The 24583-nt window shown below is 37.2% G+C and overlaps 1 protein-coding gene and 1 long non-coding RNA gene across 4 annotated transcripts in view, besides 1 other annotated feature; both read right to left on the reverse strand.

Annotated features, from left to right (window-relative positions):
* The window catches only part of LOC124907906 (uncharacterized), a 31096-nt gene extending 26412 nt beyond the window's left edge, over window positions 1-4684 (reverse strand). Inside the window, exon 1 of the long non-coding RNA XR_007087307.1 lies at window positions 1349-4684. This is a non-coding gene — a long non-coding RNA (uncharacterized LOC124907906). The remainder of the gene's footprint in view (window positions 1-1348) is intronic.
* The window catches only part of OLA1 (Obg like ATPase 1), a 176086-nt gene that overhangs the window by 138965 nt on the left and 12538 nt on the right, over window positions 1-24583 (reverse strand). For all 3 annotated transcript variants that reach the window (NM_001011708.3, NM_001328688.2, NM_013341.5), the window contains 2 exons: window positions 17897-18040; window positions 11622-11749 (listed from right to left, as the gene is read on the reverse strand). Coding sequence is in view for 2 of the 3 variants with exons in the window: in NM_001328688.2 (NP_001315617.1) it covers window positions 11622-11749; window positions 17897-18040 (272 nt within the window). In the remaining variant the exon portion in view is untranslated. The remainder of the gene's footprint in view (window positions 1-11621; window positions 11750-17896; window positions 18041-24583) is intronic.
* Window positions 21696-21896: a silencer, noted in NCBI's record as "peak3933 fragment used in MPRA reporter construct". NCBI's record gives its function as "represses an SCP1 promoter by STARR-seq MPRAs in K562 erythroleukemia cells {active_cell/tissue: K562}" and the evidence as "EXISTENCE:reporter gene assay evidence [ECO:0000049][PMID:32103011]".

The following is a 24583-nucleotide window of genomic DNA, read 5'->3' on the forward strand; positions in this document are numbered from 1 at the left end:
AACAAACATTTTAGAAATACATTATTGATAACTCCATACATCACATCATTCTAAGCCAAAATCATCCTATCATTGTTTTAATGCAGAACTCTAGAAAATTATATTTGAATCATTTGTACATATCATATCCAAAACTGGTATTTAAAATGAAAAATTCCTCATATTTAAAAATCAGAATAATACATATTCGCTTTTTTAAAAGCAAAGGGTCTAAAATGAAAAATAAAAATCACCCATTTCTCCCTCCACCCCAGTTCTATTTTTCAGAAATCTATCAATAGTATAATGTATCTTTTTCAAATTTTTTTCTATGCTTATAGTACAGGGCTTGGCTGTCCAATACTGTAGCAAATAGCCACAAGATATTAAGTACCATTAAGTTATTAAGAAGTACTTGAAATATGGCTAGTCCATACTGACATACTGACATATTGAAATAATATTTTTGGTTACATTAAATATTATTAAAATTGATTTCACCTGTTTCTTTTTAACTTTTTTAATGTGGCTATCAGAAAAATTTTAAATTACATATGTAGCTCACATTTATGGCTTTTATTATATTTCCATTGGTCAGCACTGGTACAAAGGCAAACAGTGCTGTTTTTAGAGTCAGACTTGCCTTATTGAGTACTATTCCCAACTACAGACATGAGTTGCTTAATAATGGGGACACATCTGAGAAATGCATCTTCAGGCAATTTCATCATTATGTGAACATCATAGAGGGTACTTACACAAACCTAGATGGTATAACCTACTACACACCTAGGCTAAATGGTATAGCCTATTGCTCCTAGGCTACAAACCTGTATAGCATGTTACTATACTGAATACTGAAAGCACTTGTAACACAATGGTAAGTATTTGTGTATCTAAACATATTTAAATATAAAGTACAGTAAAAATGCAGTATAAAAGACAAAAAAAATCATACATCTGTATAGGGCACTTGCCATGAATGAAACTTACAGACTAGAAGTTGCTCTGGCTAAGTCAGTGATTGAGTGGTGAGTGAATGTGAATGACTGGAACATTGACATAGACAAGTGTAGACTTTATAAACCATGTACATTTAGGCTATTCTAAATTTATGTTAATTTTTTTCTTCAATAATCAATTAGCCTTAGCTTACCATAACTTTTTACTTTATAAACTTTTTAATTTTTTTAACGTTTGGACTCTTGTAATAACAATTAGCTTAAATCACAAACACATTGTACAACTGTATAAAAATATTTTCTTTATATTATCTATAAGCTTTTTTCCATTTTTTAAATTTTATTTTTATTTTTAAACCTTTTTGTTAAAAACTAAGACACAAATACACACAGTAGCCTAAGCTTACACAGGGTGAGGATCATCAGTGTCACTGTCTTCCACCTCCACATCTTGTCCCACTGGAAGGTCTTCAGGGGCAATAACACCCATGGAGCTGTCATCTCCTATGATAACAATGGCTTCTTCTGGATAGCTCCGGAAGGACCTGCCTGAGGCTGTTTTACAGTTAACTTTTCTTTTTAATAACTAGAAAGAGTACACTCTAACGAGAAAAAGTATAGTGACTGAAATTCACACAAAAAGTTCAAAATAAATCCACAGGCAGAAAATTTAACTACAACAATTGGTGACCAGAACTCAGGAAAGAATAGGGCAATATATTCCCTACTCCCACCATCACCGTCAAACACACATACACACATACATGCACATGCAAACTTAGCTGAAAATAAATTATATTTGAAATTTTGTTTTCCACAACTATAACTAATTATATACCAGTCCCATATATGAGACCCTCCTACTATACGTTTCTAAACCGGGAAGAAAACTGTCCCATAGCTCAGAAAGCAACACTCTTGCTTCTAGTCTCCAAGGTCATATCTCTAAGTACCTATTGAGAAACCTTAACAAGTTTTATCTGTGAATAGCCTGACAGTAGGTATAGTGATACTGCCAAAGGTGCTATGCTTCAAATAACACACAAATGTCTTAGATTCCTGTTGAAATGTAACTTCAAAACTTCTAACGACAGCTTTAAAAAGTTAAGAATCTTTACTCAGTGATCTTTATGTGTCAAAAGAAAAAAAAAAGGCTAAGGATTTGGTGAAATCAATAGCTTCATCATATTCAAATATTTAAAAATCCAGCAATAGTAAGTTATATTGCTTCCAAAAACTGGCGAAGTCATATTGGCTCAATGAGCCCTAGAGAAAAAGTTAGTGGTTTTTCCAAATAACGCACCCTGCTTTCAGATAAGTTACTGTATGTATGAATTTAAAAAGAATTTGCTTCCTATAAAATGATTGCTGTTTCCTTCTCCTGTATTTAATCTTTGGCAGGCCGTTTTATCTGAGCATGATTCTGTTTACTGAAGATGAAAGAGAAAAATCTATCATAAAAGTTTTTTAAAAAGGGTATTCATTAGCAATGTCATTTGTAATTTTTTAAAAGTACATGTGAATGTACTTAATGCCACTGAACTCTATACTTAAAAATTATTAAGTAGCAAATTTTATGTTATGTATATATTACCATAATTTTTTTAAATATAAAAAATGAAAAAAAGTGTTGAAATTTAAAACCTACTTTCACCAAAAAAAAAACCCAACAATGCATCATTAAAAACAATAAAGCAAGGCCAGGCGCAGTACCTCACGCCTGTAATCCCAGCACTTTGGGAGGCCGAGGCAGGCAGATCATTTGAGGTCAGGAGTTGGAGACTAGCCTGGCCAACATGGTAAAACCCCGTCTCTACTAAAAATTCAAAAATTGGCCAGGCGTGGTGGTGCACACCTGTAGTCCCAGCTACTCAGAGGGCTAAGGCATGAGAATAGCTTGAACCCAGGAGGCAGAGGTTGCAGTGAGCCAAGACTGTGCCACTGCACTCCAGCCTGGGCAACAGAGAGAGACTCCGCCTCAAAAAAATAAATAAATAAACAGTACTAACTAAGCAAAGTGCTATAAAAATATTCATTATTATAATTGTAAGTTGCACTTAGTAGTTTGGTCAGGTAGGCCTCTTGGTTGCCCTAGGGTTATATCTTAACCTAAGATCCTGCCTCTCAAACTGGGACTGCTGGAAATACAGAAAACAAAAAACCATGAGATTCTAAAAACTTCTCCTTGAAGTAAAGTGTGTGGCACTACACCACGTACCAAAAGTCATCATGTTCCTTATCCTTTGTGGTTAGGGCCCTTGGGTGGAAAAATTTAACAAACACAAGAGTCTTGCCATTTTCATATTATCCTGTATTTTCCAGACATTTTATATGTTTCAGAAATAGGCAGCTCTGCCCGTTAGTTCAAAATTTAGTTTGGTTTAACACAAAATTTTGTTAAGCATTTTAAAAAGGGGCTGGGAGTGGTGGCTCATGCCTGTAATCCCAGCACTTTGGGAGGCCGAGGTGGGTGGATCACCTGAGGTCAGGAGTTCGAGACCAGCCTGGCCAACATGATGAAACCCCGTCTCTACTAAAAATACAAAAATTATCTAGGCATGGTGGCAGGTGACTGGAATTCCAGCTACTGGGGAGGCTGAGGCAAGAGAATTGCTTGAACCCAGGAGGTGGAGGTTGCAGTAAGTCAAGATCGCGCCATTACACTCCAGCCTGGGCGACAGAGTGAGACTATCTCAAAAAAAAAAAAAAGAATTTTTAAAAAGCAAACTTCGGAAGAAAATAAGAGCAATATTTCCAAAACAACAAGAATGAAAAGAACATTCTGGTATTTAAAGACACCTAAAAGATCCATAAAAGAATGTGAGTAGAAGGGAGCTTTTGGGGTGATGAAAGTGTTCTGTAGCCATACTCTTGTGGTGGTTTTATGAATCTATAAGCATGTTAAATTCATAGAACTGTAAACCCAGAATGTTACGTTACTGTATGACAATTTGTAAAATAAAATATGTAAACTCCTGAACTTTACAAATATTTTTAAATGCTTTACATAACAAATTTACTAATAAACTCGTCAATAAATACTTCAGTTCATCCTTGAACTTAGGTTTGAATTTCAAGGATTTGAATTTCAAGGATTCACTTACACACAGACTTTTTTTCAATAACTATAATGGAAAATTTTTTGAAGATTTGCAACAATTTGAAAAAACTTGTAGATGAAACATGTAGCCTAGAAATATGGAAAAAAATAAGAAAAAACTAGGTATGCCATGCATGCATAAAATATACATAGATACTTGTCAATTTTATCACTTACTACTGTAAAATATATACAACTCTATTATAAAAAGTTAAAATTTATCAAAACTTAGACACACTTACAGACCATACATGGAACCATTCACATTTAAGGGAAATGTAAATAAACTAAAAATGCCATATAAAATCATAACTGCATAAAGTTAATTGTAGTCCATATTGTACTACCATAATTATTTCACAGCCACCTCCGGTTGCTATTGGGATAAGCTTGAGTGTTCCAAGTATCCTTATCTTAAAACACTGTGAGACATTAATCATCATCACATGAGCAGTTCATTTCTCCAGTAAATCGTGTATTGCTGTAAAAAGTAATCCCTTGAGGTTCCTGCATATTAATATTTTTCATCATGGTCGCAATACTATAAATGTTGAATAACATAAGCCAGGCAAGTGGCTCACACCTGTAATCCCAGCACTTTGGGAGGCCAAGGCAGGAGGACTGCTTGAGCCCAGGAGTTTGAGACCAGCCTGGCAACACAGCAAGACCCTGTATCTACAAAAAAAAACATATATATATAATTAGCTGGGTATTGTGGTGCACACCTGTAGTCCTAGCTACTTGAGGGGCTGAGGCAGGAGGATAACTTGAGCCAAGGAGTTCCAGGCTGCAATGAGCTATGATTGTACCACTGCACTCCAGCCTGAGCAACAGAGCTAAACCCTATCTCTAAAACAATAATAATAAAATAAAAAATAACATTATGGGACCTATACAAAGTGCTATTAGTGATGCTGGAAATGCTCCCAAGAAGCAGAGAAGAGAAAAGTCATTGACAATACAAGAAAAAGGTGAACTGCTTGATATGGACTATAGACTGAGGTCTGCACCTGGGGTTACTGCCATTTCAGACAAACAATTAATCTTGTGAATAGATGACAGTATCAATAAAATACAGTATAGTACTGTAAATGCATATTCTCTTACTTTTTATTTTTAAGACAGGGTCTCACTCTGTCACCCAGGCTGGAGTACAGTGGCACAATCATAGCTCACCACAGCCTCAAACTCTTGGGCTCAAGCAATCCTCCTGCCTCAGCCTCTTGAGTAGCTAGGACTACAGGTGCACGCCACAATGCTGGCTAATGTTATCTTTTGTAGATGTGGATCTCTCTATGTTGACCAGGCTGGTCTCAAACTCCTAGACTCAAGCAATCCTCCTCCCTCAGCCTCCAAATGCTGCGATTACAAGCCTGAGCCACCGCACCTGGCCATGATTTTCTTGAAAACATTTTCTTTTCTCTAGCTTACTTTATTGTAAGAATATAGAATATAAATATATAACATACAAGATGTGTGTTAATAGTTTATATTACTTGTAAGGCTTCCAGTCAGCAGTAAGCTATTTGTAGTTAAGTTTTTGGGGAGTTAAAAGTTATATCCGAATTTCAACTGTGCAAGGGTCAGCTCCCCTAACCCCAGTATGTTCAAGGGTCAACTGTATTTTGGAATCAAGTTTAACAAATTCTGTAACTGAAAATATTTTGTACTTCCAAGACTGATGTATCAGAGAGAAATAATTTCACTACAATTGCACCAAAACCCAAAGTTCTTCATAAAATGTTAAGGCTCAAAAATAATCAGGTTTTATTTTTCCTTTCAATTTTTTTTTCTAGAGATGAGATCTCACTATGTTGCCCAGGCTGCTCTCGCACTCCTGGGCTCAACTAATCCACTCGCCTCAGCCTCCCAAAGTGCTAGGATTACAGGTATGAGCCACTATACCCAGCCCTATTTTCATTTTTAAATCAATACAAATAGCTGCACCAACCTGCTAATTATTATCTAAAAATATGACATTATTTCCAACGCTTACAGTGCTGAAACAGAGTACAAGCAAAGCTCCCCTAAAAGGAAAAGTATAAGAAAAGTTTTCTTTCCCACTTTTTTTGCTTTAATGAGGTGAAAGTGACATACAACAAAATGTGCAAAAAGTGTACAGTCAGATGTATACATGTCTTGACATATGCATACACCTGTGAAACCATCGCTACAAACAAGATTATGAGCATATCCACCACCCCCAAGAGTTTCCTCACAGCCCTTTATAATCCCTCTCTCTGCCCCTCCCCCAGGCTACCGTGATCTGCTTTCTAATTAGTATGCATTTTCTAGAATCTTATATAAATGGAATCATAGTATACGCTCTTTTTTTGGACTGCCTTCTTCCACTCAGCATAATTATTTTGAGATTCATCCATATTATTGTGTATAGAAAAATTTTTAATGCTGCATCTACCTGCTATATAAAATTAGTCCACATTTGCTGCAAACTGGGCTTACACACAAGATGAGAATCTTCAATTAGCTATATGTGAAGCTTCACCTAGACAGCAGATTATTAGGTCATTCTTGAATCAGTATTCTCTTTCTTTTTTTTTTAAAGAAGCAAAGTCTCCCTGTGTTGCCCAGGCTACAGTGCAGTGGCTAGTCACAGACACAATCATAACACATTACAACCTCAACTACTGGGCTCAAACAATCCTCGGGCCTCAGCCTTCTGAGTAGCTAGGATTACCAGCATGTGCCACTGCAACTGGCTTTGAATTTTTTTTTTCAGCTCCTTACTATCAATGAAGAACCAATATTTTTTTGGAAAAGTATTCCAAGGATTTAAACTAGGGCAAGAAAAATAAGTGACCCTCCGATAAATGAAGACTGATTCTGTTTTCAAATTAAATTTAATAAGCAGACATTCATTTGTACTGTAAAAACACTTCTCACAAAGCTTTCCTGATGAAAAAAAAACCACCAGAATTAAAAGATGAGCTCTTGTAATTCCTCATGCAAATTCTGACAGTTGTTATGTTTATTAAGTGTCAAAATAAGACCTAACTTTCACCTCAGCAGCACTTGTTTAGTGAAAGATAAACTCCCGTTTATATAGCTGAATCCATAGTTACGAGTTAGCATACAGTAACTTCAAAAATATACTTTAAAAAACTACAGTAACTCCAGATCTGCACATATTCAAACAAGAAAATAATCTTTCATTATTTCTACTATCTTGCATGTCCTCATTAGTACACTTTGCAAACAAACCTACTGAAAATAAAACTTCAGCGAAAACTCTAAATGACTAATGGGGGTAAGGATCTGAAATACCTTTACATTAGGCAGCAAACCCCAGGGGTGGGAGGGGACATTATTTGGGGGTAAACAAACTAAGTAACATGTATTGATTCTTTTAATCTTTTTTATTTTTTTAGAGAGAGGATCTTGTTGTCATCCAAGCTGGAGTACAGTGGTGCAATCACAGGTCATTGCAGCCTCGAACTCTTGAGCTCAAGTGATTCTCCTGCCTCAGCCTCGCAAGTAGCTGGAACTACAAGGCACAGGCCACCAAGGCCGGCTAATTTTTTTTTTTTTTTTTTGTAGCAATGTGGTCTCCCTGTGCTTCCCGGGCCAATCTTGAACTCCTAAGCTCAAGTGATCTGCGTAGGTCTCCCAAAGTGCTAGGATTATAGGCATGAGCCACCACACCTGGGCAAATACATGTTGTGTGTGAAAGAAGCTTTACACATTACTGGCCGGACACGGTGGCTCATGACTGTAATCCCAGCACTTTGGCAGGCCAAGGCGGAGGACTGCTTGAGTCCAGGAGTTCAAGACCAGCCCGGATAACATAGCAAGACCCTGACTCTTTAAAAAAAAAAAAAAAAGTATTCTAAGTATTCTATATTGTTTATGCTCATACATCATCTAGGGAAATCATTATCAGTATCTTGGAAATATAGTTTTATACAAAATGAAAATTCAAACTATTGGCAACTTACTCCATTTTATTTCCCTTTTTTTTTTTTTTTTTTTTTTTTTGCGATGGGTCTCACTCTGCCACCCAGGTTGGAGTGCAGTGGCGCAATGTTGGCTCACTGCAACTTCTGCCTCACAGGCTCAAGCAGCCCTCCCAATCCAGCCTCGAGTAGCTGAGACCACAGGCACATGCCACCATACCCAGCTAATTTTTTGTATTTTTGGTAGAGACAGGAGTCTAACCATGTTGCCCAGACTGGTCTTGAACTCAAGCAATCTGCCTGCCCCAGTCTCCCAAAATGCTGGGGTTACAGGCATGAGCCACCGTGCTCAGCCCATTTTGATTGGTTAAAACATTAAAAGTGCAACTCAACTGAATACTGTAATTGCAAAATAAGCTACTGGAACAATTTCATCTGCCTCCATCCCCACCTCAACTGTCCATTTAAAATCCTTTATATTTAGGCTGGGCACAGTGGCTCACACCTGTAATCTCAGCACTTTGGGAGGCTGAGGTGGGCATATCACTTGAGGTGAGGAGTTCAGGACCAGCCTGGCCAACATGGTGAAATCCCGTCTCTACTAAAAATACAAAAAGTAGCCTGGTGTGGTGGTGTGCCTCTGTAATCCCAGGTATTGGAGAGGTTGAGGCACGAGAATTGCTAGAACCTGGGAGGTGGAGGTTTCAGTGAGCCGAGATGATGCCACTGCACTCCAGCCTGGGAGACAGAGCAAGACTCCATCTCAAATAAATAAATAAAATCCTTTAGATTTAAGCCATTTGAGATGGATATCTTTAATATGGTGAACTTAATCACATCCCTAACTATATCCCTGGGCTCTTTTCCATCGCTCCTACTCCTCATCATTCATTCTAACCACCATGGCAGTTCTTAAGGCAGCAGGCTCCTTTCTACCATAGGGCCTTGAAACAAACCATTTACTCTGAATAATAATCTTTCCTTTCCTCCTTTTGCTAACTTAGTTCCCATTCAGCTTTTACCTCTCAGCATCACTGTCACCTCCTCAAGGTAACACTGCATACTCACACACATATTCCTTTCTCCTTGTACACAACTAGAAAGACATCTAATATTTATGTGACCATTTTATTCAATGTCTGTATCCTCCACTGTATTATAAGCTCATGAGAAAAATGGTCACATCTGTTTTTACTTACCAATACATCCCTCAGCATCTAGCACACTTATAAGAGTCAAATCAGTCAAATGAATAAGATAGAGTGATTTAAAGATTTAAAGCCAAAGCAAATCCACCAAGATGAGTATTTGCATTTTAAACAAGTATATGTGTTTGCAACAATGTATATATTTTACATATTTCTAATAGCCAAGGGAAGTAAACAAGGTGAGGCAAAAGTTAATTTTTAAAAATTAATCAAATTAATGGAGAGAAACATGATATTAATAAATTAAAATTCAGTGATAAACTAAAACTTCTCATTAACAATTTTTTCTGTCCCCTAACTTTCGGATGTTCTAATAGAAAGCTGAAAAGTACTCTAAACACTAACATATATCTGACTGTTGAAATTAAAGAATTATCAATTTTCATAGCCTCAAAGTAATCCATAATCTTTCTAATCTCTACAAGTCTTTTTTTCTGACTATAAATCTAAGGATTTTTTTAAAATTCTGATTATAAATGTATCATTCAGTGCTTTATGTACTATACAATGATATATACACTGTATTTCATCAATTCTAAGATGCGTATTTTGGCACTTTCACATTCTGAGATCAATCATACTAAGAGAGCATAGTATCTACTTTAATTGGATTTTCTTTCCTTCCTTAATGATGGTATCTTTAGCCTGACTTAAATACAATATAGTATGTATGCTCCTCACCAAATTCATTTCCCCCCCCACAAGGGTTAGAAAATCACATCAAATGAATATTATGTAAGAAACAACAAAACCAGAGATATTTTTATTACCAACATCATCAGGACCTTACCATCATCCTAAATTGCTCCAGCCTGGAAAATTTTAAGTCAAATATCCCTCCCTAACCACACGACAGCCTTACACTCAACCTACCTGTTCTGAAACCTTATCAGGGAATCAGATCCATAAGCCTTCCATTTTTCAGTGCTCTCCTATTTTCACTCCCACTCTATTTTAAGTTCTTTTCCACCCATCAACTCACTTTCTCATACCCAAATCTTCAGTTCTCTTGCCCCGATCCTTCTGTCACGTGTGTCCTATCAATTCTACTTTCTGACAGACACCTATCAGGATGCCCCAACTACAAAATTTTTTAAATTGTCCCAAACTGAACTCATCATCATCTCTCTCAATACTTGCTGCTTTTTCTGTGTTTAACGTTTCAACAAATGGTATCACAATTCATTCAAGTGACCTGGTCCAGAAATCCAGGAGTCACACTTCACTCTACCTTCTCTATGAAATCCTCACATCAGTCACCAAAACCAGAAGAAAACCAGTCAGGAAAACAGACGTTCTGCCAATGTACAGGCTTTAGTTAAAACTTCTCTACAAAACTGGATCACTTCCCCATCACAGCCTCATTCTTTTATCTAGACTTCCCAGAGGTCTCACCATACCTTCACTCAAATTTAAACTACCTAGATCAATGCTTCTCAAATTGTCTGTCATGGGGTTTTGTAAAATACAATACAAATGAATTATATGGTTGGTACAAAAGTAATTGCAGTTTTGGGCATTATGTTGGCAAAATTGCAATTACTTTTGCACCAACCTGATTCTAGGCAAACAAATCTTTTTTCTAGCCAGCTTATGCAAACCACAGAGGTAAATGGTGTTTTATAAAAGGCACACAAAAAGTACCGGCAGAATTTTATTATTACTTTATTCAAATGACCAAAAAATTAGTCAAATTGCTATATTTTCTAAATGCTTACTCTCAGTTACTATAGTTATCTAGTTGAGGACCAGAAACAAATGCACTTAACCAGACACAGCTGGCCCTCTCACCTCTAACTTGTGTTTTCTTGTTTCTATTAATTTGCTCATTATAATACTATTAACACAAAGTACAGCCTTGACCTAAGCCTTAACCTAAACTCTATTTTGTCAGAAAATTACTATGTGATTGGCTCACTTTTATAGTCAGTCAACAGAGCCCAAACTAAGCCACAGTCCTATTTTTTCTCTTTCCTTTATATTCCTCTCTCCATAAGGACTAGCTGATCTATAGTTTCTCTTTAATCCTTTCATCTCTAATAGATAACCCAGAAGCCTTTCTCTGTTGTTAAATAATCAGAATCCCCTTCTCTAACAATTCTGCCTCCTTAACACACAGAAAAGCAATAAAGTTCCACAATTTAAGATAATTTCAGAATGCCTTTACAATGAACAAAGTTCCATATAGAAACACTTCTTGATTGCTCTAATCCAGAACAGGGAATAAAGTTCAATTAGAATATAATCTCAATGCAGCATATACTTGCTATGGAATAAGCCTTCAGATACGGAGATGATACTAAGTAACATTAAAGTCACAGATTTACAGACAAACCCAAGATTCATCTGGTAAAGCAAAGCAATCTTCCATTAGTCATTTCTAATTTTATTTGTGCACTAATGGAAAGAAAACACTGATCTGAATGAAATCAATGATTAAATAAACAACTGTACTTACGTGTTAGATGAAAGATGCCATCACAGGCACTAATATGAGATAAAAAAGCATTCCCCAGGCCCTGCCCATTGTGAGCTCCTTTCACAAGGCCAGCAATATCCACCACATTTAGAAAGGCAGGAATTTTGCTGAAAAACAAAAGATGGCTTTATTATAAAACAGTACTAAAAACTTATCTATCAACCAAATGAATTCTCCAAACATTTCACATAAATTCTTTCCTTTCTAGAACAATGGAACAATAATGATTTGATAAATGAATATCCACCCCTCCCCCCAAAAAAAATTAGAAATGGCCTTGTAATACATTTGGACTTTCTTACCTAGGATAATAAGTGAGAAAACTAAAACAGAATAAATGTATTTATCGTGTTTCTGAAATTAAAACTCTTATCATTAATTTTACTATAAAGTTCTATTGGCACATGCACACACACTCAAAAGCGGTGAAGAATGTTTAGAGTATGCTGAGGTAATCATCATAAAATGAGCCAACTAACTTTGTGCCAGACACTAAATTAAGTATTCTACATGTATTATCTCACTTCAAAGTTCAAATCAACTCTATAAGATGGATGCTATTTATTAAGCCCACTTTACAGATAAGGAAATTATGCCTTAGAGGAGTTACGAAATCTATTGTATTCAAGATCACTCAGCCAGCAGTGACAAAACTGGGATTCAAACACAGGCTGTCTGGGTTTGCATTTGATCACCCACATGTTATATAGACAAAAAAAAAAAAAAAAAAAAAAAGCGTGTAATGCTGAGAACCAGTTATCAGCATAGTAATAACCTAGCTGTTGATAACAGCAACCAAATTAGGCTATATACAAAATAACCTTTGCTTTGCTAAATAAAGGCACATTTAACACCAGTTAAAAACCAAGTTAGGAAAATCAGTTTGCCATGTAAAAATGGAGATTTAAGTATATCAATAAATAAAAGCTACTTTTAATGTCATATGACAAAGGTATATATAATGTAATTGTGTATCCTTTGTCAATTTTCAAGAGCATTCATTTTTCAGAATGTCAATTTCACTACCTGATAAAATACAACATAAAAGTTCCACAAAAGACTTCCCTATTATTGGCATGGAAAATGAGTCCTTTCAAAACAATTATTCTATGAAGTATTACAGATTGAAATTACTTGATTATTGTTACCACCAAATCCACTAAAACCACATAAATGTGGTTAGTTTTTTGTTGTTGGACACAGTGACTGCCTCCCCAGCATCCACTGCCCCCTCTCGGTACCTATACGGATTTTCATTTTGGTAGCCATTCCTCTCCAGCAGAGCCCAGCGCTTTGGAGAAGCTTGCTCTACCCCTAACTCTAGAAGTGGGGCATGTAGCTCCGGCCTTCACTAAGCAGTTTAATCGCATTCCTAGGGAAAGTAAAACAATTCTAGGACCTTCACCTTGCCCTAATTGCCTCAAAGAACTTAAGAAGCCAGGCATGGTGGCATACATCTGTAGTCCCAAGTATTTGGGAGGCTGAGGCAGGAGGGAGGATGGCTTGAGCCCAGGAGTTCAAGTTCAGCCTGGGCAACATGGTGAGACTCCACCTCTTAAAAAACAAAAAAGACATGAAAAGACTTAAGAAGAGGTTTACTGGAGGGGGTGTAGGAGGCTGTTAAATAGAAGCTCATCAGTCTTCTGGGAGAACTTCTAGAAGCAATCCCGTTTCACTCTGAACATGGATGAGAAAGTACACAGATCTATCCTGTGACCACAAGGGGAAGACAACCTTATGGTCAAGTTGATAAAGTAAATTGAAGAGGGGAAAGAAGCCAGGCCTTTGATGATATCACTGAGCTAAACACTGTGCTACCTGTTACTAACTCAATAAATCAGCTCTTTAAGTCACTGTGTTAAGGGCAACTAAATTCATCCTAAATGATATTTCTAACAACTAAAACCACTCATATGATAAATATGAAGTTGATATAGTTTGGATGTTCTGTCACCTCCAAAACTTATGTTGAAATGTGATGCGTAATGGTGGAGGTGGGGCCTGGTGGGAGGCGTTTGGGTCACGGGGTGGATCCCTCATGAATGGCTTGGTGCCCTCTCCATAGTAATGAGTGAGTTCTCGCTCTGTTAGTTCACTGGAGAGCAGGTTGTTTAAAATGGTCTGGTGCCTGTCTCCACTCTCTCTTGCTCCCCCTGTCTCCATGTGACACACCCACTCCCCTTTTCATCTTCTGGCCATGAGTTAAAGCTGCCTCGTCCGGGTGCAGTGGCTCACGCCTGTAATCTCAGCACTTTGGAAGGCCAAGGTGGGTGGATCACCTAAGGTCAGGAGTTTGAGACCAGCCTGACCAACATGGAGAAACCCCATCTCTACTAAAAATACAAAATTAGAAGGGTGTGGTAGCACATGCCTGTAATCCCAGCTACTCAGGAGGCTGGGGCAGGAAATCACTTGAACCCAGGAGGCGGAGGTTGCAGTGAGCTGAGATCGCGCCATTGCACTCCAGCCTGGGCAACAATGGCGAAACTCCCTCTCAAAAAAAAAAGCTTTCTGAGGCCTCGCCAGAAGCCAAACAGATGCTGGTGCTGTGTTTATATGGCCTGCAGAACCATGAGCCAAATAAACCTATTTTCTTTATAAATTACCCAGCCTCAGGTAACCCTTTACAGCAATACAAAATGGACTAATGCAGAAGTACAGTAAGTAGCATGCATTTGGGTAGAATGGCCTAAATTTGAAGTGAGAAGCTTTGAGTTCTATTTCTGGTTGACATAACTATAAGTGTGACCATGAACAAATTATTTCATCTTTCTAGGCTTCACGTTTCTTTTTATGAGGAAACTAGACAGGAAGATATTCAGCTCTGAGATTCTATTTTCTATTGAAAATGAGCTTCTCGGCCGGGCGCGGTGGCTCACGCCTGTAATCCCAGCACTTTGGGAGGCCGAGGCGGGCGGATCACGAGGTCAAGAGATCGAGACCATCCCGGCTAAAACGGTGAAACCCCGTCTCTACTAAAAAAAAATACAAAAAAATTAGCCGGGCGTAGTGGCGGGCGCCTGTAGTCCCAGCTACTTGGGAGGCTGAGGCAGGAGAATGGCGTGAACCCGGGAGGCGGAGCTTGCAGTGAGCCGAGATCCCGCCACTGCACTCCAGCCTGGGCGACAGAGCGAGACTCCGTCTCAAAAAAAAAAAAAAAAAAAGAAAATGAGCTTCTCAATTCTGATTTGTGATTTATGGCTAGGATAAGGTTTAAACTATTAATACAATATCTCAAAAAATTAAAACTTGAGATTTAATTCAGGGATTTCTGATGTATTACACTAATGATCTCATGACTACTTGAACAAAATACTTCTAGAATAAAATACTACTTTAGAACTCTCGAGACTAAAATGATGTTAAAAATATTTTTAATCGCTATACTGTAATGAACACAGACTACCAAAAACATTTATTAATGTTCTTTTTTTTTTTGGCAGGAATTTCTTTTGTTCTTTTTTTGAGACAGTTTTGCTCTTGTTGCCCAGGCTGGAGTGTAATGGCGCCATCTTGGCTCACTGCAACCTCTGCCTGCCAAGTTCAAGCGATTCTCCTGCCTCAGCCTCCTGAGTAGCTGGGATTACAGCCATGGGCCACCACGTCCGGCTACTTTTGTATTTTTAGTAGAAATGGGGTTTCTCCATGTTAGTCAGGCTGGTCTTGAACTCTTGACCTCAGGTGATCTTCCCACCTCGGCCTCCCAAAGTGCTGGGATCACAGGCTTGAGCCACTGCACACGGCCTTATTAATGTTCTTCAATAGAAACAGGCTGGTGGGGCTCGGCACAAATTTGGGAGGCCAAGACAGGAGGATTACTTGAGCCCAGGAGTTCAAGCCAGCCTAGGCAACATGGCAAGACCTCATCTCTCCAAAAAATTTAAAAATTAGCCAGGCACAGTGGCATGTGCCTGTAGTCCCAGCTACTCAGGAGGCTGAGGTGAGAGAATCATTTGACCGTGCCCAGGAGTTTGAGGCTACAGTGAGCTGTGATCACACCACTGCACTCCAGCCTGGGCAACACAGTAAGATTCTGTCTTTAAAAAAAAAAAGAAAGAAAGAAAAGAAAGGCCAGGCACAGTAGTTCATGCCTGTAATCCCACCATTTTGGGAGGATGAGGCAGGAGGAATGCTTGAGGCCGACAGTTCAAGACCACCCTGGGGCAACACAGCAAGACCCCATCTCTATTTTAAAAAGAAAAGAAAAGGAAAAAATAAGATAAAACAACTGAACAAACACATGATCCTGGTTTAGATGCAACAAAGCATATTATTGGAACAACTGAAAAAATCTAAATAAAGTCTATGAATTAGATGGTAATATGGGGTCAGTGTTAATCCCATAGTAAACTACCCTGATTTTGATGTTTTACTATGGTTGTGTGGGAGGATATCTTTGTATTTAGTAAATACAAACTAAAGAACCGAAGTATAATATGGCACATGTCTACAACTTATTCTCAAAAGTTCTAAGAATCTGGGTATGCAAGGGTATATAAGCACTTGTGTACTTTTGCAGCTTTTATATAAATTTAAAATCATTTAAAAATAAAAAGGTTTTAGAAAGGACACTGAAGTCAGCCTGAAGAGCCAATCTGAGGGATATAATTTGAGCATCAAATCAATGTTTGTGACAGATTAAAACCAATAAAATAACACTCATCTGAATAAATACATGAATGAACAGATGAAGATGAGAAAGCTTTTCCTTACAGTACAATAGTAACAAATGAAGGAGGAATGATAGAATTACAAAATCACCATGTGAGAATCCTCATAGTAAAAATTAATTCATCAAAAAAATCAATGGATGCTACAACTAGTAAGTGAAAGTGAAAAAAGTGAATGAGTTCAGTATATACTTTGTAATTAGAACTCACAAAATTGCTGATAAGACTGGATACGGGGTGAGGGGAGAGAAGAATCAAAGATAAATGGTGGGCACTGATTTAAGCAACTGAGGAAATGACAGTGCTATTTATTGAGTTATGGCAGTCCTAAAGAAGAATTTGGTGCAAGAAGGTGAAATCAAGAGGTCATTTTGGACATATCAAGTCTAAGGCACCTATTCAGACCTCCAAGTGTCAATATCAAGGAGGCAGTTAGATATAGAAATCTGGAGTTCTGCAGAGTTCAGGACACCAGACAGAAACCTGGGATTTATCAGGACATTAAAAATAGTAAAATATTAAAAACAAATTATATTATCAATAATAAGCAAATGGTAAACTGTGCTACATTCATATAATATAGCAATAAATATAAGTATTATATTAGAAATTATTACTTAAGTCTGTATTGCTTAATCCAGAAAGATATTAATAATATCCCAAGTAAAACAAGTATTCTATTTCTGTAAGTAAGTGTGCACAAAGTCAGGAAATTATGGAAGGATATATCCCCAAAGTATTTACAACTGTTATATCAAGGTAGAGGAAGTAGAGGTGGTTTTCACCCCTCTCATTATATATTTCCCTACTGTCTGAACTTCCTACAATGAACTTAAACTATCTCACTTTTTCCTAATAAAACAGTTTTACTTATTTTTTTAATTGAAGACATAATACATGCTTATTGTAAAAAAATTCAAACATAGAGGAATATAAGAATAAAGTAAAAATCACCTAAAAATTCTACTACCCAGAGATAATCATCAGTCTATGATCATTTCATACATTTTTTATGCATATAAACAAACACATTTAGTTTTACATGAACGAGATCATATAATACAGACTAATTACTCCATTTTATACTCCCCAGAAAAAAATAATTGCAATGTTAACAACTGGGTATACCCTTCTACACCCTTCTCCATACTCTGCATTACTTTTTTCTTTTTGAGACGGAGTCTTGCTCTGTTGCCCAGGCTGAAGTGCAGTGGCGTAACTTGGCTCACTGCAACCTCCACCTCCTGGGTTCAAGCAATTCTCCTGCCTCAGCCTCCCAAGTAGCTGGGATTACAGGCACCTGCCACCACACCCAGCTAAATTTTGTATTTTTAGTAGACAGTGGTTTCACCATGTTGGCCAGGCTGGTCTCAAACTCCTAACCTTGTGATCTGCCCTCCTGGGCCTCCCAAAGTGCTGAGATTACAGGTGTGAGCCACCGCACCCAGCCCTCTGCATGACTTTTATAATCACCCAAAACAATAATGCTACATTAATTTTAAAAGAAAAACTCTTCTATATGACTTTAAACATCTGCCCAATCTACACAAAATCACCAAATAAATAGCATAAAATATCTCTTACCTTGCTGGTTTGTGGTATTGACAAAGAAAGTCAAACCTTTCATCTGGCACAGGTACTCTGCTCTCATTAGGATCAATAGTGCAGAACGGGAAGTTTTCTGCTGAAGCCTGACTATTGGTTAACACATTGAAGAAAGTAGATTTCCTAAAACAAATAAAAGCAATTTCAATCAATTCTTAGGTTAACACCAAGAAAAATTTATCTCACTCTAATTTCAATGCTCAAATAAGATCCATGAGGAATATAAAACCAATCTACAAAGAGAGGGAAAAAGGAACAATACATTTTTTACTAACAGAAGTGAATGAAATTTACAACAGTAAAGCGGCAGCTCATGACTTATAATTAGGTTATTTCCCCATCACAGTCTATTTGAAACTTGAAAAGCATGTTCTCAAAGAATCTTTGTTATAAGTTAGAGTTTCATGTCATACTACAAAATCTATTTTTTTTCCATAATATACCTGATCGTACCAGCATCACTTCATCCATACCTAACAAAACCTTCTCTAGCATGAAATGTAGAAGTCATGTCTCTAGTTAAGTCAATGACTTTCCAAAAACTCTGAATTGGGAAAGAGATGCTAAATGTCTGGTATCTGATAGGAAATGGGAGGTTGGCACTCAGAACTGCCTTCTAATCATTAGTATGTAAGGATTACTGGTAAGTCTAGAATTGTGAATTATGAAAGTCAAAATGTGAATTTTATTCAAGGTATGACTTAAATCAAGAAAATATAATATCTATTAATATGGAATAAACTAGTCACTACTTTTCTAATCATTTGACTGCTATCAAGTAATACGTGCTCAGAGAAAGCCCACTCACGTTAACATTTTTAAAAAATGTGATAACACTTTATCATTCATGTCTTAAAAAATGAAAAAAGAAATAAAATTTTAAAAATAAAAAATAAAATATGATAATACGGTGCCAAATATCATACAGAGTAAAATCCAAAACAAAATTTTAAACTCACAGTGGCCATCTTTTAAGAATGCTAGGTGATTAACTCTTTGAAGACTGTTAAAGTGGTTACCGTGTCTTTCCTATAGAAACTGTACTTTCAGAATAACCAATAGTTATGAAAAGAAAATTACTTTATAGACATATTCCAGCCAATAAATGAGGAAAGAATAAAAACTTAGAATAGCACCATTCTGCATCCCCTAACAAATTAATGGATCTTGGTAATAATTACCAATGACAGTTAGTGCTGCAAAAACAGGAGAAAAAAATAGTACCTCCTGAAAGAAGTATATACATCATCTGTCATCTTAATCTGACCAACACTTTACATGTTACTGCTAGTTTACAGGAAATATAGAGGACAGAAGAACATATTAAATGATACCATGGGGATAAAGTCAATAAAATCCAGACTCTGGAAAATTTTATAAGACTAAAAACCAGATTTCTTCAACAGGTCATCTGGGGGCTGGAAGTAAGTGAGAAACTTCTCCTTCTGGATGAGATGTAGAAGCTAACAGCAGTCCAACAATCCCAACCAGAACTAGAAAAGCCATCTAAAATGCAGGATACAGAAGGCATCTGTTTGAAGGGTCTGGGATTCTGAAAATGAAAACAAAAAATTTGGAAGAAGTGATTTGACCTCTACAGCCACTTTTACCCTGGGGACCTGTGCCCATTCTGGGCAAAAGAAGGATGCAAGGATCCAGACTTTATACACATAGAAAGCTGATGCTGAAGGAGAAAGAAACCAGCAAAACATTTGGAGGAAACTTGGAGAACCTCAGGCACACCACCAGTTTTCCCACTGGGGATATTTTCCTCAAGAGAAAACTACAAAAGCCTACTCAAGTAATTGGTAACACAGACTGGCCCACTCTCCATTCCTTCTTCCCCTCTCCATGAAAAAATTTAAAATAAAGAGTGATAGTTAAGTTGCCAGAACAGTCCAGGAATCCTTATTTATCTAAAATGTAATGAAAATATTGTATACCTACAATGGAAATATTGCAGAATAATGTTGTAATAAAAGTACTTAAGACAAAATTTAAATCTATTAATTTAAACATTTATAGGACACTTGGGCCTAACGTTATGAAGACAAAATAAAATGCTATTGCATTTTCGTATACTGTAGTTTAAAAACTGCTCATTACTATTACCACAGTCAGCTGCAATTCTAAAAAGGCCATAGGTTGTTTATGGAGTTTTTTTCAAATTTATGGCGATTACTGTGTACAGTATTTTATATCGTCTACCTGGACAAAAATAAGTATGTTTTGTGATTTTTTAAAATGTATCCCTTAAAACATATTATATGGTAAAACATAGCAAAAGAAAATTCCTTAGGCAGAAAAAATTCTTACATACATTCAAACTAAACTTAGAAGACAAATATCCATATTCACAGACTGTCTCATTTTAGATGAATATTAAATGTCGTGAAACCCAAGTCATCTGTAGCTTCTAACAGCTTTGCAGGTATAAAAAAAGTAAAAAGAAATAAGGAAGAAGGAAAAAGAAAAATTTCTAAGGATCATTACTATAGGCTTCAGTGGCAACTAAAGACATTTTGATCTATTCAAATCTATTAAGAAAAGCCTCGCGAAAGCAAAGAATTTGAAAGTTTTGGCCTATGCCTGAAGTGTTAAAGCCCATATGCTTTTTGTAAAATGAGAACTTTTTAAACACACACACACGCACCCCTAGATCCCTTGAGGTTAATATTAAAGCTTAAAAGCAGGAGAAAGATTCAAAGTTGTAGGAATTTCTCTCATGCAAGAATGGGTTTACATAACTTATTTCAGCAATGATAGATAGCATTAAAAGAAAAAAAACACAGTGACTAGACTAAATGTATGCCCCCTAGACTTAGGACCTACATACTTTATTTTGGAAATTACTATTTTACTCTGTTAAGTCAATCTGACTGAATAGATGTTTTATGTAAAACTTTACACAAAATTGCAGCATGTAATGGGAAGTAGGGATACCAGTGCAAATTCCCACAGCATTCTGAATTAACTATTTATATATAATATCCATCCAAAACATGGGAAAAGAAGTAGAAAGTTCTTTCAAAATGTTTTCAATTAGATATAACTAAACTGTTAAAAGCATCTATCTGATAGATACACAAATACGTAAGATGACAGAAATAAATGCCAATCCATGTATACATGGGTGAGTATAATTACATATTTTCTACTTCCATCGGAGAAGAAGGCCTAAAAACAGCAACACTTCAGCAGCAATGATCACACCTAGAGAAATGTCTGTTCTCAACAGATTATTTCTCCAAAGAGACACAAATGGCTAAAAAAATATGAAAAGATGCTCAACCACTAATCACTAGAGAAATGCAAATCAAAACCACAATGAGATATAACCTTACAATTATTAGGATGGCCACTATCAAAAAAACAAGATGATAAGTGTTGGCAAGAGTACAGAGAAATTAGAACTCCGTGCACTGCTGGTAGGAATGTAAAGTGGTATAGACGCTACGGAAAACAGTTTGAGGTTCCTCAAAAAAGTAAAAATAGAATTACCATACGATCCAGCAATCTCACTTCTGGGTATATATCCAAAAGAGTTGAAAGCAGGATCTCAAAGAGATATTTACAAACCCATGTTCATTGATGCATTATTCATAATAGCCAAGAGGTAGAACCAAATGTCCATCAACAGATGAATGGATAAAGAAAATGTTATCTACATATGATAGAACATTACTCAGCCCTTAAAAAGAAGGAAATCCTGTCACATGCTACAACATGAATAAACTTTAAGGACACTATGCTGAGTAAAATAAGCTAGTCGCAAAAGTATAAACACTTTATGATTCCACTTATATTCATATACTCAAATATGAATATACTTATATGAGATATCTAGAGTAGTCAAAATCATGGAAACAGTAGAATGGTGGTTTCCAGGGGCTGGGGGGAAAGAGAAATGGGAAGTTGTTCAATGGGTATACAGTTTCAGTTACGCAAGATGAAAAAGTTCTAGAGATCTGTTATACAACAATGAATACAGTTAACACAATTGAACTGCACATTAAAAAACGATTAAGATGGTAAATTGTATAATATATTACATTTTTTATTTTGAGACAGAATCTCACTCTGTCACCCGGCTAGAGTGCAGTGTCACGATCTCGGCTTACTGCAACCTCCGCCTCCTGGGTTCAAGCGATTCTCATGCCTCAGCCTCCAGAGTAGCTGGGACTACAGGTGCATGACACCACGGCCAGCTAATTTTTTGTACTTTTAGTAGAGATGGGGTTTTGCCATGTTGGCCAGGTTGGCCTTGAACTCCTGAACTCAAGTGATCCTCCTGCCTCAGCCTCCCAAAGTGCTAGGATTATAGGCGTGAGCCACTGTGCGTGGCCATATATTATGTGTTTATTACCATAATTTCTTTAAAAAGTATCAAACTCAAATGGATAAATATTATACAAAATACCTAACCAGTACTCTTCAAAAATAAATCTTTGAAGGTCAGGAAAAATAAAACATTCAGAAACTGTCAAAGATTGGAGGAGATAGGAGACATGAAGACTAAAACACAACATGGTATTCAACACTGGAAAAGACAAAGGACATTAGTGGGAAAACTGGTGAAATCCAAATAAAGTCTGTGGTTTAGTAAAGCAAATACAGTTAACCCTTGAACAACACTGGTTTGAAATGCATGTTCAAAGTGCATGTGTCCACTTATACACAGATTATTTTCAATAAAATTTACACTGAATGTGCCTGCCCCTCCTTCCTCTCCTTCCACTTCCTCTCTATCTTCTGCCTCTGCCACCTGAGACAGCAAGACCAAACCCTCCACCTCCTTCTCCTCCTCAACCCACTCAACATGAAGACAACAAAGACCTTTATGATGATCCACTTTCACTTAGTGAATAGTAGCTACGTTTTCTCTTCCTTATGATTTTCTTAATAACATTATTTTCTCTAGCTTAGTTTATTGTAAGAATATAGTATAGAATAATACAACATACAAAATATAGCTTAATCAACTGTTTATGTTATTGGTAAGGCTTCCAGTCAATAGTTGGTTATTAGTAGTTAAGTTTTGGGGGAATCAAAAATTACACACAAATCTTTGACTGGGCCAGGGGTCAGTGCTCCTAATCCCCGAGCTGTTCAAGGGTCAACTGTAATTTCTTTTTTAACTTTCTTATTTTTTGGAGATAGGGTCTCACTTTATTGCCCAGGCTGGAGAGCAGTGGCATGAACATGGCTCACTGCAGCCTTGACCTCCCAGGATCAAGAGATCCTCCCGCTTCAGCCTCTCAAGCAGCTGGGACTACACGTGCGTACCACCACCCCTGGCTAATATCTGTATTTTTTGTAGAGACAGGGTTTCACCCTGTTGCACAGGCTGGTCTTCATCTCCTAAACTCAAGCAATCTGCCAGCTTCAGCCTCGTAAAGTGCTGGGATTATGGGTATGAGTCACCATGCCCAGCCCTCAACTGTACCTTAAGGAGAAAAAAAAAAATTATTTGAAATTATGTGGTGATACAGCAATACAGACTAGATTAGAATTCTGAAAAAGAAACTCATTTAAAATTTTAAAACTAGGCGGGGCATGGTAGCCCAAGCCTGTAATCCCAGCATTTTGGAAGGCAGAGGCGGGCAGATCACTTGAGGTCAGGAGTTTAAGACCAACCTGGTCAGTATGATGAAAGCCCATCTCTACTAAAAATACAAAAATTAGCCAGGCATGGTGGCACATGCCTGTAATCGCAGCTACGTGGGAGGCTGCGGTAGGAGAATTGCTTGAACCCAGGAGGCAGAGGTTGCAGTGAGTGGAGATCGCACCACTGCACTCCAGCCCGGGCAACAGAGCGAGACTTTGTCTTGGGAAAAAAATAAATAAATAAAACGTAAAACCCATTAATCTATGAAGTACCTCTAAGGCACACAGTTACTGCTGAATACTAGGAAAGAGTGATTAGGAAAACAGATCTGTTATTCAAAAAGATCATTCAGAACATATTAAAAAGAGAAAGTAAATAAGTCCCAAATCATAGATTTCTATGAAAGAACAGGCATTCTGGAATATTGACAAGCAGACAGTAAGATTTAAATTCATTTAAAATGGTTTTGGGGAGTTTTGCTTCCCCTCTGCTACAAGAACTGCCCTCCTGCTACAAAGAGCTAGAAAACCAGACAAAAATCTATGAAATAATAGTTTTCACACAAAGGACAATATGCATCACAGGACTGTGTTCCCTGAGAGAAGAATAACAAATAAACTAAGCTCTACAATTGCTCCAGCTTACTGCCTACTGATGCTTTCAAAGTCACCATTCCAAGAGGGGAAACCAACAGAACCCAGTAGTCACACCAAGTTGAAGAGACTAAGATGAGAGTTAGGAGGCCAAGGCAGCTAGAATTTATGGGAGAGTATACTAGAAAGGTGGGAGCTGCACAGAGAAAACGCTCTGAAGAGCTGCAGAGGGTCCCCTCAAGAACGCAGCTAAGTAATGATTTGCGCATGAGTAAATTCAATCACTACAAGTCCAGGGAAAGAACCACCCAAACAGAGTAGGATGAACAGTTCTCAGGGCTCACATGGAGATTGGAACAGTTCACATTCCTATGAGCCACAGTGGAGAGATCCTGTAATACAAGGGAATTTGGATAGAGTCCTCAAAAGGGTCAAGTCTTAGTACTAGGGCTTAAGTAGCACCAG

This window comes from Homo sapiens, chromosome 2 (assembly GCF_000001405.40).
Source record: "Homo sapiens chromosome 2, GRCh38.p14 Primary Assembly".
Classification (NCBI taxonomy): domain Eukaryota; kingdom Metazoa; phylum Chordata; class Mammalia; order Primates; family Hominidae; genus Homo; species Homo sapiens.